Source organism: Homo sapiens, chromosome 2 (assembly GCF_000001405.40).
Source record: "Homo sapiens chromosome 2, GRCh38.p14 Primary Assembly".
NCBI classification, from domain to species: domain Eukaryota; kingdom Metazoa; phylum Chordata; class Mammalia; order Primates; family Hominidae; genus Homo; species Homo sapiens.
Genome location: NC_000002.12, coordinates 10,720,383 through 10,735,274, shown reverse-complemented (window position 1 = coordinate 10,735,274; position 14,892 = coordinate 10,720,383). Strand labels below are relative to the sequence as shown.

General features: G+C 49.1%; 1 protein-coding gene across 11 annotated transcripts in view; it reads right to left on the bottom strand.

The window, feature by feature from the left end:
- The window catches only part of ATP6V1C2 (ATPase H+ transporting V1 subunit C2), a 64,168-nt gene extending 49,836 nt beyond the window's left edge, over nucleotides 1-14,332 (bottom strand). For 8 of the 11 annotated variants that reach the window (XR_922661.2, NM_001410707.1, XM_011510340.4 and 5 more), the window contains exons 1-3: nucleotides 13,544-13,645; nucleotides 12,297-12,451; nucleotides 8,706-8,773 (exon numbers count right to left, since the gene is read on the bottom strand). Coding sequence is in view for 10 of the 11 variants with exons in the window: in NM_001410707.1 (NP_001397636.1) it covers nucleotides 8,706-8,773; nucleotides 12,297-12,425 (197 nt within the window). In the remaining variant the exon portion in view is untranslated. Of the gene's footprint in view, nucleotides 1-8,705; nucleotides 8,774-12,296; nucleotides 12,452-13,543; nucleotides 13,646-14,098; nucleotides 14,171-14,277 lie in introns of those variants that run through there. The other 3 variants (XM_047443860.1, XM_047443858.1, XM_017003745.3) reach the window with 3 other exon arrangements.

Below are 14,892 nucleotides of genomic sequence, written 5' to 3'. Positions count from 1 at the left end.
TTGTTTGAACCCAGGAGGGGGAGGTAGCAGTCAGCCAAGATCATGCTACTGCACTCCAGCCTGGGTGACAGACCAAGACTCCATCTCAAAAAAAAGGTCTAGTCACCACATTTAAAAAAGTAAAAACAGGTTAAATTAACTTTAACAAGATATTTTATTTATGTCAAAATATATATTTTTTTCTTTTTTTCAAACAGGGTCTCACTCTGTTGCCAAGGCTGGAGTGCAATGGCTCGATCACGGCTCACTGCAGCCTCAACCACTCGGGCTCAGGGTATCCTCCCACCACAGCCTCCTGAGTAGTGGGGCATACAGTCACACCCCACCATGCCTGGCTAATTTTTTGTATTATTCGTAGAGAGGAGGTCTTGCTATTTTACCCAGGCTCAGTAAGCCATTTTAAATGTCTAGATTTATAAATACTATTAAGTGTTTTCATAAGTAACAATGATTGATAGTACAATCGGGGAGGAGGGTGGAATGGAAGAGAAAAAGGCCATTTTCTGGTCAGTTCTACCGATGACTCCGAGCTGGAAGCATCGTGGAAAGCCCAGGGCACAGAGTCCCCCAGGGCAGATGGACCCAGACAGGCAGACCATTAATGGCAAGTTGATGGATCTGGAGTGTATTCCCTCCTCTGCCACCCCTGTCTGCCTTTGTCTTTCTAGGATCTTCTCTCTGGGCCTGTTTCCTCATTTGGAACTCTTGCAGGTTAGATAAGATCTCTAACGGGCTGCCCAGCTCTTATAACCCAGGATGCTTCCCTCTATTCATCCATTCAATCAGTCACCAAGGGCCGCCATGTTACAGGTGCTAGGGATCTAATCATAAGCAAAAGACAGGGAAGAAAAATATGACCAAATAATCCCACAAGAAGACGTCAAAATCCACTGTGGCAAGTGCCATGAAAGAGGGGAGCACCGGGTGTGTTAGAGAGGGTAAATCTGTGAGTGTGATGGTAGAGGGTGTGGGAAGAGGTGGGGAAAAGAGTCTCCAGGAGCTGGGAAGGAGGAAGAGGGCTCAGCAGGGGCAGATGGGAGGAGGAGGGGTGAAGAGGCTTGGAACAGCCGCCATGGAAAGTGGGAGCCCAGCAGACACACACAGTAGGGCTGCCAGCAGCTTAGAGCAACCCACCATGCATGCGGCATACAGAGACATGCAACCGCGGTCTATTCACTGAATCCCATGAAATGCCACATAGGTCATCTCAATCTGACATTCTTCCACCAACAGAGAAGAAAAGCCTATATGCTTTTTACAATTCCAGTTTACTTCTCTTTAGAATGCCCTTACAAGAACTGACTCACACGTATCACTAAGCAGACATCCACACTCAGCTATGAAATCTTTGATCAGCCAACCCTCAGTCAGCTCCATGGAACCATGTGGGTAAAGAAGAAGCCAGCAGCTATTCCATAGACAGGGGAAGCACTCAGGGGCAAGCAACGACAGGGGAAGCACTTAGGGGCAAGCAACGGTCACCAAGCACCACAGCACCCAGAAGGTCCTGCTGAGGTCCCGCTGACCGCCCCAGCGCCTGGGAAATGCACTCTGTCAATCAACACCGCAAAACAGGCTAAGATACTGTGAAGGACTCAAACTTTTTTTTTAAAACAGGGAGAGAGGTTTTTTTTTTTTAAGATAATAGCATTTGGTTTTTCAAATGTTCATGAATGATAGGGCAAATACAGAATAAATTAACAAAGGCAGTATGAAGGAATAAATTAAAAAAAGAGAGAGAAAGCTCTCGTAAGCAAAAGCTGCCTTCCAACTACATGGAAAAACACTCTAGTGCCCTAAGTAAATAAATAATAAAAGGATATTGAAACAATACACCCTGAAAACGCTTGTGCCTTCTCTGTTCTCCTGGGCAGAAGCAGTGCTGACAGGTTTATGCTACCGAGGTTACAGACCCAGCTAGCATTTATTTACCTAATAACACTCGAGGACTTTTCAAAGAACTGATGCCATTCTCCAGATTTATTAGTACATATAACCCACTCTTTTACCCCAACCTCTACCAACTCCCAACACAGGACACCCTGACCCCTGGACTAGAAAAAAGCTAAGATTAGAATTTTGACGTGCTCAGACCACACCATTTTCCTTCCCCCTGATAGGAAGGCTCTTAAGAATATATACCCACAAGGAAAACGAAAACAATGCACAGTGATTTTTCATTCTTGCCACACCTAGTCCTTATTGTTTAGAAAACACTTAAATTTGCACAGGTTCTATCTGTTTCACAATTATAGCCACAGTCTTGCCTGTTCACGCATTTTCATTTCTTTTTCTTTTTTTTTTTTTGAGACAGTCTTGCTCTGTCGTCAGGCTGGAATGCAGCGGCACAATCTCGGCTCACTGCAACCTCCACCTCCTGGTTTCAAGCAATTCTCCTGCCTCAGCCTCCCAAGTAGCTGGGACTACAGGCGCCTGCCACCAGGCCCGGCTAATTTTTGTATTTTTAGTAGAGATGGGGTTTCACCGTGTTGACCAGGATGGTCTCGATCTCTTGACCTCATGATCCACCCGCCTCGGCCTCCCAAAGTGCTGGGATTACAGGCGTGAGCCACCGCGCCTGGCCTTCATTTCTTTTTCTTAAACATATGCTATACTACCACTAAAAGCAACTTGTGCAACAAGTATGTACAGAACAGAACACTAATATACTTACTGGGGAAACAGAGCAAACAGACAAAAAAGAAACTAAAGTAGGGCTGGGCATGGTGGCTCACGCCCGTAACCCCAACACTTTGGGAGGCCAAGGCTGGCGGATCACCTGAGGTCAGGAGTTCGAGACCAGCCTGGCCAACATGGGGAAACCCCGTCTCTACTAAAAAAATACAAAAATTAGCTGGGCTTGGTGGTGGGTGCCTGTAATCCAGCTATTTGGAAGGCTGAGGCAGGAGAATCACTTGAACCCGGGAGGCGGAGGTTGCAGTGAGCCAAGATCACGCCACTGCGCTTCAGCCTGGGCAGTAGAGCAAGACTCTGTCAAAAAGAAAGAAAGAGAGAAAGAGTGAGAGAAAGAGAGAGAGAGAGGGAGAGGGAGGGATGGAGGGAAGAAGGGAAAGCGAAAGAAAGCAAGAAGAGCAAGAAAGCAAGAAAGAAACTAAAATGGAAACAATAACAATCCAGGATCACAGAATTTCAGAGCTAAAGGGGTTTTAGTGAATAAGAGGTTAAAAGACTTGCACTAGGACAGAAAATTGGTAGCAAAGACAGCTCTAGAATTGCTACCATTTCTGCAGCAGGTAGGGAACTATTCACACTTTTTTTTTTTCTTTTATTCTTTTCTTCCTGAGACAGGGTCTCACTCTGTTGCCCAGGCTGGAGTGCAGTGGTGTGATCTCTGCTCACTGCAGCCTCGACCTCCTGGGCTCAAGCAATTCTCCCTCCTCAACTTCCCAAGTGCTGGGACTACAGGCATGCACCACCACACCTGGCTAAATTTTGTATTTTTTGTAGAGATGGGGTTTCACCATGTCACCCAGGATGGTCTTGAACTCCTGGGCTCAAGCATTCCACCCATCTCAGCCTCCCAAAGTGCTGGGATTACAGGCATGAGCTACTGCGCTTGGCCCAGTTCACATTTCTTAAGCCAACCTTCCTGCACGAGACCAGTCTCCTTCTGCGGTTTGTCACTGCTGCCCAGGAAAACCTAAGGCATTCACTAGCCTAGGGCAGTGGGCTGTTCTCAATGGCATCTGTTACAGGCCTTTCTTAGGTTTAGCATTATTTGATTATGTGATGTGATTATTTTATTAATATGTGTCTTCTCAGCTAGGCCATAAGTTGTACAAGGCCAGTCATACCTCCCTGTGGTGCAGAGAAGCCTAAGAAGGGAGTCAACATTTCCGGATCAAGTCACTTTTTCTTGGATATTAACTTTTACAGGACAGGCCCTGAGATTTGATAATACTTGATTTAGCATGATTTTACTTCCCTTCATTCGTCTGAGAGCAGACAGATTTTATGAATGAGAGAGCCAAAGATTAGTTTTCTTTCTCAAAGACTATGAATGGTGGCTAGGTGTGGTGACTCATGCTTGTAATTCCAGCACTTTGGGAGGCCAAGGTGGGAGGATTGCTAGAGCCCAGGAGTTCGAGACCAGCCTGGGAGATATAGTAAGACCTTGTCTCTACAAAAAATTTTAAAATTAGCTGGGCATGGTGTGCACCTGTGGTCCCAGCTACTTGAGAGGCTGAGGCGGGAGGATCACTTGAGCCAGAGAGGTGGAGGTTGCAGTGAGCCCTGATGGTGCTACTGCACTCCAGGCTGGCGACAGAGCAAGACCCTGTCTCATGAAAAAAAAAATTGTTGGCAGGGCGCAGTGGCTCATGCCTGTAATCCCAGCACTTTGGGAGGCCAAGGTGGGTGGATCACCTGAGATCGGGAGTTTGAGACCAGCCTGACCAATGTGGAGAAATCCCGTCTCTACTAAAAAACACAGAATTAGCCAGGCATGGTGGCGCATGCCTGTAATCCCAGCTACTCGGGAGGCTGAGGCAGGAGAATCGCTTTAACCCAGGAGGCGGAGGTTGCAGTGAGCTGAGATTGTGCCATTGCACTCCAGCCTGGGCAACATGAGTGAAACTCCATCTCAAAAAAAAAAAAAAAAGGTTTACACCTGTGTATTATCTCATTTCAAAAAAAAAAAAAAAAAACCCACTGTGAACAGCAAACTACTTGGTGACTAGGAGTGCCTGTGTGTTAGTCCAACATCCCATACAAAGCAAAATGTCACTAACAAAGGCATCCTACTATTCTTAGGCAATCAGAAGGTAAATAGCAACAGAACACAGAGAACCCAATTTTTAGCCCATAGCACTAATCTGCAGATTAGAAATCCTCAAAGTGGCCAGGCACAGTGGCTCACACCTGTAATCCCAACACTTTGGGAGGCTGAAGCTGGAAGATCACTTGAGGTTAGGAGTTCGAGACCAGCCTGCCCAACATGGTGAAACCCCATCTCTACTAAAAATACAAAAATTAGCCTGGCCTGGTGGCACACGCCTGTAATCTCAGCTACTTGGAAGACTGAAGCAGGAGAATCACTTGAGCCCAGGAATCAGAGGTTGCAGTGAGCTAAGATTGTGCCACTGTACTCCAGCTGGGGCAACAGAGCAAGATTCTGTCTTAAAAAAAGAAATACTCAAAGTATGTTCACTAGAACTCCTAATTCCATACAGTTCATCAAACAAGGCAGTAGCAGCCATATCACCATTCCACTAAGAAGAAAAGAGCAAGTCCATGGGCCCTAAAAACCTGAAAGTTTCACAAATGTTAAGGGGTAGGAGAAGAAAAAGAAAAGGAATCCCTGAAACCCTTTAAGGAAGCAGTCAGAGCACTGAGTCCCAGCACTGCAGCCCAGCAGGCCACCACCCAGCCCCTGGGGAATGCTGCCCTCATCTACCCCACAGCCAGGGTCTCAATCTGTCATCCAGGCTGGAGGGCAGTGGCACGATCACAGCTCAGCTCAGCCTCGACCTCCTGGGCTCAAGCAATCCTTTCACCTCAGCCTCCCAAGTAGCTGGGACTACAGGTGCACCACCACAGCCAGCTAGTATTTTTTACTTTTTGTAGAGAGAGGGTCTCACTATGTTGCCCAGGCTCTTCTCAAACTATTGGGCTCAACTGTCCCTCCTGCCTTGGCCTCCCAAAGTGCTGGGATTACAAGCGTGAACCACGGCACCCAGCCTGATCTTACTTCTATTACTACGTTATCCAGAAATTATATTTATATGTTGAGAAAATTAGATGTACACACTGTAAACACAATATAATAATAGTTATATTTGGATGGCTTAATTATGGGTGATTTGTATTTTTTTCATGCTATTCTATGATCTATAAATGCTTTCCAATGAATCACTTGAGGTCAGGAGTTCGAGACCAGCCTGGCCGACATGGTGAAACACCGTCTCTACTAAAAATACAAAAATTAGCTAGGCATGTTGGCATGTACCTGTAATCCCAGCTACTCGGGAGGTTGAGGCAGGAGATTGCTTCAACTTGGGAGGCAGAGGCTGTAGTGAGCCCAGATCGTGCTACTCTACTCCAGCCTGGGTGACAGAGTGAGACTCTATCTCAAAAAAAAAAGTTTTCCAATGATTATACACCAGATTTGTAATATTTTTTTTTTTTGAGACAAAGTCTTGCTCTGTCCCAGGCAGGAGTGCAGTGGCACGATCTTGGCTCACTACAACCTCCGCCTGCCAGGTTCAAGCAATTCTTGTGCCTCAGCCTCCCGAGTAGCTGGGATTACAGGCGCCAGCCACCGCACCCAACTATTTTTTTTTTTTTTTTTTTGTATTTTCATGTTGGCCAGGATGGTCTCAAGCTCTTCACCTCGTGATCCACCTGCCTCGGCCTCCCGAAGTCCTGAGATTATAGGTGTGAGCCACCACGCCTGGCCCAGATTTGTAATAATTTAAACAAAGATATATAATTTTAAGACTCCACGACATCCTCATACACTTTTTTTTTTTTTTTTTTTTGAGACAGGGTGTCACTCTTTCGCCCAGGCCGGAGTGCCGTGGCATGATCTTGGTCACTGCAGCTTCAAACTTCCAGGCTCAGGTGATTCTTCCACCTCAGCCTCCTGCATAGCTGGCACTACAGGCACATACCACCATACCCAGCTAATGTTTTGTATTTTTAATAGAGATGAGGTTTTGCTATGTTGTCTAGGCTGGTCTCGAACTCCTGGAGTCAAGCAATCCACCAGTCTATTCAAATAAATGAGGGTACATCTATTCACAGTAACACAGCCATTAAAAGAACGAACATGAAGTTATGGACTGATATGAAACTACCTCTAAGATACGTTATTTAACTAAAATGCAAGATGCAGAATATATGCTATCATTTGTACAAAATTAATTTTAAGGCTGAATGTGGTGAGTCACATCTGTAATCCCAACACTTTGGCAGGCCGAGGCAAGAGGATCACTTGAGGCCAGGAGTTCAAGGCCAGCCTGGGAAACACAGTGAGACCTTGTCTTTACCAAAAAAATACAAAAATTAGCTGGGCATGATGGCATGTGACCATAGTCTCAGATAATTGGGAGGCTGAGGTAGGAGGATCGCTTGAGCCCAGGAGTTCAAGGCTGCACTGAGCTATGATTGCACCACTGCACTCCAGCCTAGGCAACAGAGCCAGACCCTGTCTGCAAAAAACACAAATAAGTAAACAAATACATGAATGAATAATATTAATTTTAAGACATATTTATTTGTGCATGTATTGGCTATCTCTGGAAGGCTTACCTAGAAAGTTATAGGAAAATTGCCTTAAAAGAGGGGCAATGGAGGACTAGGGGACAGGAAAGAGAAAAACAGGTGAGAAGAAAACTTAATTTTCTTTTTGAGACGGAGTCTTGCTCTGTCACCCAGGCTGGAGTGAAGTGGCGCGATCTCGGCTCACTGCAACCCCCATCCCCCCTCCCCCGCTCAAGCGATTCTCCTGCCTCAGCCTCCGGAGTAGCTAGGATTATAGGCACCCGCCACCACACCCAGCTAATTTTTGTATTTTTAGTAGAGACGAAGTTTCACCGTCTTGGCCAGGCTGGTCTCAAACTCCTGATCTCAAGTGATCCACCTGCCTCGGCCTCCCAAAATGCTGGGATTATAGGGGTGAGCTACCACTCCTGGCCGGAAACCTTCACTTTCACTATATATATCCTTTTTGTACTTTGGGTTTTTGTTTGTTTGTTTGAGATGGGGTCTCACTCTGTTGTCTAGGCTGGAGTGCAGTGGCACAACCATAGCTCACTGCAGCCTCAAGCTCCTGGGTTCAAGCATTTTTCTCACCTCAGCCTCCCCAGTAGCTAGGACTACAGGCACACATCACCACATCTAGCTATTTTTTTTTTTTTTTTTTCTTAGAAACAAGGTCTTTTGGCTGGGCATGGTGGCTCATGGCCTGTAATCCCAACACTTTGGGAGGTCGAGGCAGGTGGATCACCTGAGGTCAGGACTTCGAAACTAGCCTGGAACACATGGTGAAACCCTGTCTCTGCTAAAAATACAAAAGTTAGCTGGGCATGGTGGAGGGTGTCTGTAGTCCCAGCTACTCAGGATGCTGAGGCAGGAGAATCACTTGAACCTGGGAGGCGGAGGTTGCAATGAGCCACGATCAGACCATTGTACTCCAGCCTGGGCAACAGAGTGAGACTCTGTCTCAAAAAAGGGAGGAAGGGAGGGAGGGAGGGAGGGAGGAAGGAAGGAAGGAAGGCTCTCTATATTGTCCAGGCTGGTGTTGAACTCCTGGGCTCAAGCGAGTCTCCTGACTTAACCTGTGGAGTAGCTAGGGTTACAGGTGTGAGCCACTGCCCCGGGCCTCTTTTTGTAGTTGAAATTTTGTGCTATGAGCATTTATTACTAAAAAATAAACAAACTTAAAAAGGCTTGGTGGGAAACTACACCAAGGACTTTTCCAAGTGTCTCGGCACCTATGCATGATCTTCAGGTTGAAGGCAACCCCTTAACAAGTGCTGCCTCCAGCAGACAAAACACCAGGAGGGATCAGGCGGGCTCCTGCAGACCCAGCACCCGCAGGGGGACTGATCGGTTTTCTCTGCTCACTTTTGGAACCAGGTCTAGACAAGTCCATACTCCGGTTCAGCCAAAGCAAGAACACTGTGTCCTCTGACAACAATGTCAAATTCTCACTTGTATGTAGTAAATAAGGAATATTTTACCTTTCAGCAAAGGTGTCGAGTTTCCCCAACTCATCAGAGAGGCCAACCAGGGAATCCAAGGTCCCCACCTAGACAGATCATAAAAACGTCAGAGGCTCACAGGTTTCTGGCCAAGCATGATGCCATCTCAACAACACGGCAGGGACTCTGTCACTTCATCTTGAATTTGTCACCCTTGGTCAATGGCCAAAGTGGAAAGTAGAAAAAACTCTTAATGGAAACCAGTGGATTTGGGGGTGTCTTTATTTACTTATTTTTGACCAACAGGATAAACTGTCATATGCCTGCCATAGGAAGGAGTGACTATGATGTTACCATCTGACCTCAGCTCATTTTCCTCTTAGAATGGCAGCCTGCTAGTCAGTCATGTTGTTAATCCCCATAGCTGAGGAAGAGATACACCAGAAAGCAAGTTAAAGAAGTTCTCATTCCTAAAAGCTTTTCTGCTCCAAGACAGTCCCATCAGTTGTGTTTTTTGTTGTTGTTTTTGAGATGGAGTTTCGCTCTTGTTGCCCAGGCTGGAGTGAAATGGCACGATCTCGGCTCACCTCAACCTCCGCCTCCTGGATTCAAGTGATTCTCCTGCCTCAGCCTTCCTAGGTAGCTGGGATTACAGGTATGCACCATCATGCACGGCTAATTTTTTATTTTTAGTAGAGACAGGGTTTCTCCATGTTGGTCAGGCTGGTCTCGAACTCCCGACTTCAGGTGATCTGCCTGCCTTGGCCTCCCAAAGTGCTGGAATTACAGGCTCAAGCCACTGCACCCGGCCCCACCGTCTTTTTCTCTGTTCTTTGCTGTTATTAACCATGATCTTGAGGCCAAGGTGGGCAGATCACCTGAGTTCAGGAGTTTGAGACCAGCCTGGCCAATATGGCAAAACCCTGTCTCTACTAAAAATACAAAAATTAGCCGGGCATGGTGGCATGTGCCCGTAATCCAAGCTACTTGGGAGTCTGAGGCAGGAAAATCATTTGAACCTCGGAGGTGGAGGTTGCAGTGAGCCAAGATCGCACCACTGCACTCCAGCCTGGTCAGCAGAGCGAGACTGCATCTCAAAAAAAAAAAAAAAAAAAAAAATTCTTGCTGGGGAAGGAGGCAGCTTTTCCTTTCCTCCCACTTCATCATTCACCTAGGTCCTTTTCTTTTCAGAGAACTTATGATCTGTTTTTTTTGTTGTTGTTGTTTTTTATTTTTTGAGATCTCGGCTCACTGCAACCTCCACCTCCCAGGTTCAAGTGATTCTTCTGCCTCAGCCTCCCAAATAGCTGGTATTACAGGCATGTGCCCCACGCCTGGCTTATTTTTTTATATTTTTAGTAGAGATGGGGTTTGGTCATGTTGTCCATGCTGGTCTCAAACTCCTGACCTCAAGTGATCTTCCCACTTCGACCTCCCAAAGGGCTGGGATTACGGGAGTGAGCCACCGTGCCTGGCCATGATCTATTTCTTAGTGTAGAAATTACTACAATGTCCAAAATTGTATTTAAAGGTCTTTTCACAGAATCAGAAAGAAAAGGGTTGCTATCATGTGGTACCACCAACTAGATGTTAAAAAGTAATTAGGTTCTGAGATTTGGCAGAATTTCAAGAAAAAAAAAATTAAGAAAAATAATTAGGAGGCTGGGCACAGTGGCTCACACCTGTAATCTCAACACTTTGGGAGGCCGAAGGTTTGAGACCAAACTGGTCAACCTGGTGACACCCCGTCTCTACTAAAAATACAAAAACTAGCCAGGCATGGTGGCATGTGCCTGTAATCCCAGCTACTGGGGAGGCTGAGGCAGGAGAATCACTTGAACCCAGGAGGCGGAGGTTGCAGTGAGCCTAGATTGCACCACGGCATTCCAGCCTGGGTGACAGAGCGAGGCTCCAACCAAAAAAAAAAAAAAAAAGTAATTAGGAAATGATGAAGCCTGAATATCTCTACCAAGACAAGTCGCTTCTTCTCAAGTAACTTAATTTTAAGCAACTTCTGCAGGGGCTGTGTCTTCTTTTTTTATCTTTTTACCTTCCAGAGTCCAGCACAGTGCCTCACACACAGTATCAATGAGTGGATGCAGAATTTACTCACCCGTACAGTGTCCATTGCTGGACAAGCAGAGGCAGGCTTAAAAAGGCAGCAAGATGTGGTTTCAGAACCCACTGCTGCCACTTACCAGCCTGACAACACTTAGCCTCTCCCAGCCTGTCCCCAGAGTCAGCTTCCCGGTGATGCATTTCAAGTATCTAGCCGTCAGCTCTTTGCTCAACAAACGTTAGCAAATGGGGTAGCATTACAACCCTGGTAGCTGATGGGGCAGCTGTTTGGGCGGAGGGGCAAAGTGAGGTTTGAAAAGGGAGTATATGGCAGTTTTCTACAAGAGCAGATGCTGGGCAGTCAGTGCCATCTCACCAGCACCTGTGCCATGTGGTCTGGGAGAAAGCTGTAGTGTCTTCCCCGTGGAAACCTACAGCCTCAGAAAGCACCACGGTAAGTCCACTCTTTTTGAAGTAAAATAATTGTGTGGCCAGGCGTGGTGGCTCACTCCTGTAATCCCAGCACTTTGGGAGGCCGAGGCAGGTGGATCACCTGAGGGCAGGAGTTTGAGACCAGCCTGCCCAACATGGTGAAACCCCATCTCTACTAATAATACAAAAATTAGCCGGGCATGGTGGCACACGCCTGTAATCCCAGCTACTCGGGGGGAAAAAAATTGCACATGTCTCATTCTTTTTTTTTTTTTTTTTTTGAGACAGAGTCTCGCCGTTCACCCAGGCTGGAGTGCAGTGGCGCAATCTCGGCTCACTGCAAGCTCCACCTCCCGGATTCACACCATTCTCCTGCCTCAGCCTCCCGAGTAGCTAGGACTACAGGCGCTCGCCACCATGCCTGGCTATTTTTTTGTATTTTTTAGTAGAGACGGGGTTTCACCGTGTTAGCCAGGATGGTCTCGATCTCCTGACCTCATGATCCACCCACCTCGGCCTCCCAAAGTGCTGGGATTACAGGCGTGAGCCACCGCGCCTGGCCTCATTCTTCCTTAATGTTGGTTTCGTTTGAACTTTGCCCTCCACTCCAAGAACCCTTAGATGCCTGGGCATGACCCAAACTCTCTTCTGTCACCAAATTCCCTCCCTTCCCCTCCCTCAGGACCAAAGGGATCCTAGATTTCCTCCCCTGCCCCCAGGTCAAGAGTACAATCAAGGCTGAAGCCCCCCAAGCCTGCACATCTAAACTATATGGTGGGTCTTCTGAGATGTTGCAGACAAACCAGGAGGAGCCAGAGGAACACCCAAGAGAACCTGAGTGTGCATTTAACGTGCTTCCCACTTTTTGAAGCATTAGACACTGCTACCCACAACCTTGTCCCCCTGTTCATTCCTTCCTGTGGCTGCATCTACATAGGTATCACAATTTATTTGGGACTATGGCATGATATCCCACCTAGCCCATCACCTCCCCGTCCATCCTCAAACCTCAGCTTGTCCTCAGAGCCCCTGCTTTGCCTTGATACTTTCTCCTTGGCTTCCTGAGGTAGCAACCTGTCTCCCTCTCCTGTCTCCCCCTGACCAATCCATCCCTTTTTCACTCCTCCCCAAGAATTTTACCTTGAAGTCAGGAATAGCGAATTTGGTATTATAAGACAGGTTGGACTTGGAGGTTACAGTATTCATCCTCTCCAGAGCTTGCAAATTTTCCTTATCGCCAGGGGCAGAAATTAACCAAAACTCCGACATGCTTCCAGTCTTCTCTTACCCAGTGACTGCCCAGAACCAGGACAAACATACACAAACAGAAACAGAAGGAGAGATGTGTCAGATATCCCCGCCTCACCACTCCCTACCCTCCAATTCATCCTTTCTAGGATGAGCTCCAAGGACATCCATTTGCAAAAGCAAAGCTCTTATCTCCACCTGGGCAGCCCTCAGGTGTTCCCGAAACTCCAAAGCTCCTTGGTCCCTGCAGTGGTTCTGGCTGGTTTTCAGGAGCAGAGGAGGAGGGAGAGGTTCCTTTCTTTCTCTCCACCTCAGTGAACAACCCCTATCAGGCATCATAAAACGGGAGGACAGTAAGCTGGAGGCGGACACCTTCTGGGGGAATATTTGTCTTCCTTCCACACTGCATCTTCTGGGATGCAGGATGGGGTGGAGGAAGGCGTGGGATGAGGAAGGGATTTTCACAACAGGCTACCAGGTCAAACCGCAGGTCAAACTGGCCAACCTTGTGATTGGTATTAGCTTTAAAAATAGACTTCAGAGGATTTTTTTAAATAAGAAAAAAAAAAGTAGTAGGGGGTGAGGGGAACTACTAAAGTCTTTTTTCCACTAGGCGAGGTGCCCGCTCAGCAGTGCTGGGTCCCTTGCCCGGCGTGGCCGGTGGTTTCGCGGCCGCGTCTGCAGCCTCTACGGCCGATTCGATTCGTGCTGCTCCTTCACAGGTGTCCACACCCGCACCTTTCCCCCTCGGCCAGGTTCCCCCTTTCCGCTTGCCTCCCCGCGGCGTCTCCGGACGGCTGGGGGAAAGCAGGATAAGCTCTGAGGAGCCAGAGACCCCTGGTGGAACCTCTTCCTTTCGGACTCCCGGTCCCGCTCCAATCCGAGGGCATTTTGTTCTCTCCTAACCCCGCGCAGACCCAACGCAGCTCCTTTCCGCCTTGACTGCCCATGGCCTGGGGACGAACTGGCCCGCCGCAGCACCTGCGGAGATGCTACCAGCCCGGCCGCGGGGAAGCGCGCGGAGGTGCACGCTGCCCACGTTTCCAATGGGAAAGCGCAGGCTGGTGCGCAGCCGGACCCCGTGCCTGTGTCCCCACCCCGCCCCTGCCTCGGGTCCCCGCTCCGCGGTGCGTCCTTACCGGGAGCCGGCGGGGCGCGGGCCGCGCGGTAGGGGGCTGCGGGCGACGGGCGGCGGGTGCGGGGCCGGAGCGCTCTGCCGGCTCCCGGGAGGCAGCGGCTTCGCTGCCCCGCGCCCCGCCCCGCCTTTTATCCCGGGCTCTGGAGGCGGCCCCGGCCCCGCAGGATATTTGCATACGGGCCGTCCGCCTCCCGCCTCGCTCCAGCCAGGGGCCCGAGAGCCGGGGAGCAGGTGCAGGCGCCGGGCAGGAAGGCGCGGAGGAGACGCGCAGGGTCTCCAGTCCCCTACGCGCGAGGGCCGGGGCCCTGGGGGCTTCTGCGGCGCGTCCCACGGGGTCTCCTGCCGCACGACTGCGCTGCCGCGTCCGGGACGCGTGGACGGCTGAGCCGGGTGGGAGTCGGGAAAAGGCTCTGAGCTCGGGACCACCCCGCCCTCCCGCTGCGGCCGCCGCAGCCCCGCTTGCCCACCCACTCTCGCCTCACAGAGACATGCGCGGATCTCAGGGGAATCACCTACTCCCAGGTGTCTCCAGGCCAGTGCAAGAGACAGGGCCCACCTGTGGGGAGCCGCGCAACAGGTGCGCAGGTGCTCGGGACGCACCTGCGTAGACAGCGAAGCTTTTCCTGTCCGTGTGGGCGCGGGTGTGCGCCCGGTTGCCCAGGAAACTCCCACCTCACCCTCTCCACCTTCCGAATTGCCCTGTGGATGGGGGGTGGGGGGGCGGTTACAACTCACCGTACGACGATCAGAGATGAGTTCATGATCGGTGCTGTCTGGAACCAGGAGGGGGAAACCCTGGAAATTAACGTGTGAAGGTTAAAAACAAGACAAAACCAAAGGAAAACTCGGAGAATTCATTTTCTCTGGACCGAAGGAGAAGGCTTTAAAGCATCCTTCCATGTGGGCGATGTTTTCAGTGGTTTCTGGGAAAGATGAAGATCTCAAGAGTGTCCTTCGAGGGGGCATTGGAGACGGTGTTCTTGCTTCCTTAAACGTGGACTCCCCCTCCTGTGTAAACTAGCCTTATCTATCAACCCATTCTTGTGAATGCATCAGGGTCTTTGGCAGAAGGATTTGACATCATCTGAGACTTAAGCTGTAATCACATAGGGTGGGATGGGAAGCCCCAGAGACGGGACAGAAAGGTGGCTTTAAGATCACAGTGGGGTCGTACTGCCAGCCTAGGTTAGACTTGGAAGTCCCAGCACCTGCAGCAGGCATCGTTATTGGGACACTAATGTGCATTAGTCAGTCCTTGCAACATCTTCCTGAGGGAGGATACCTGAAACCAAGGGATGGGGAAACTCCGGTATGTTTGAGGACATTAAGTGGCTATTCCAGGGAAGGAGT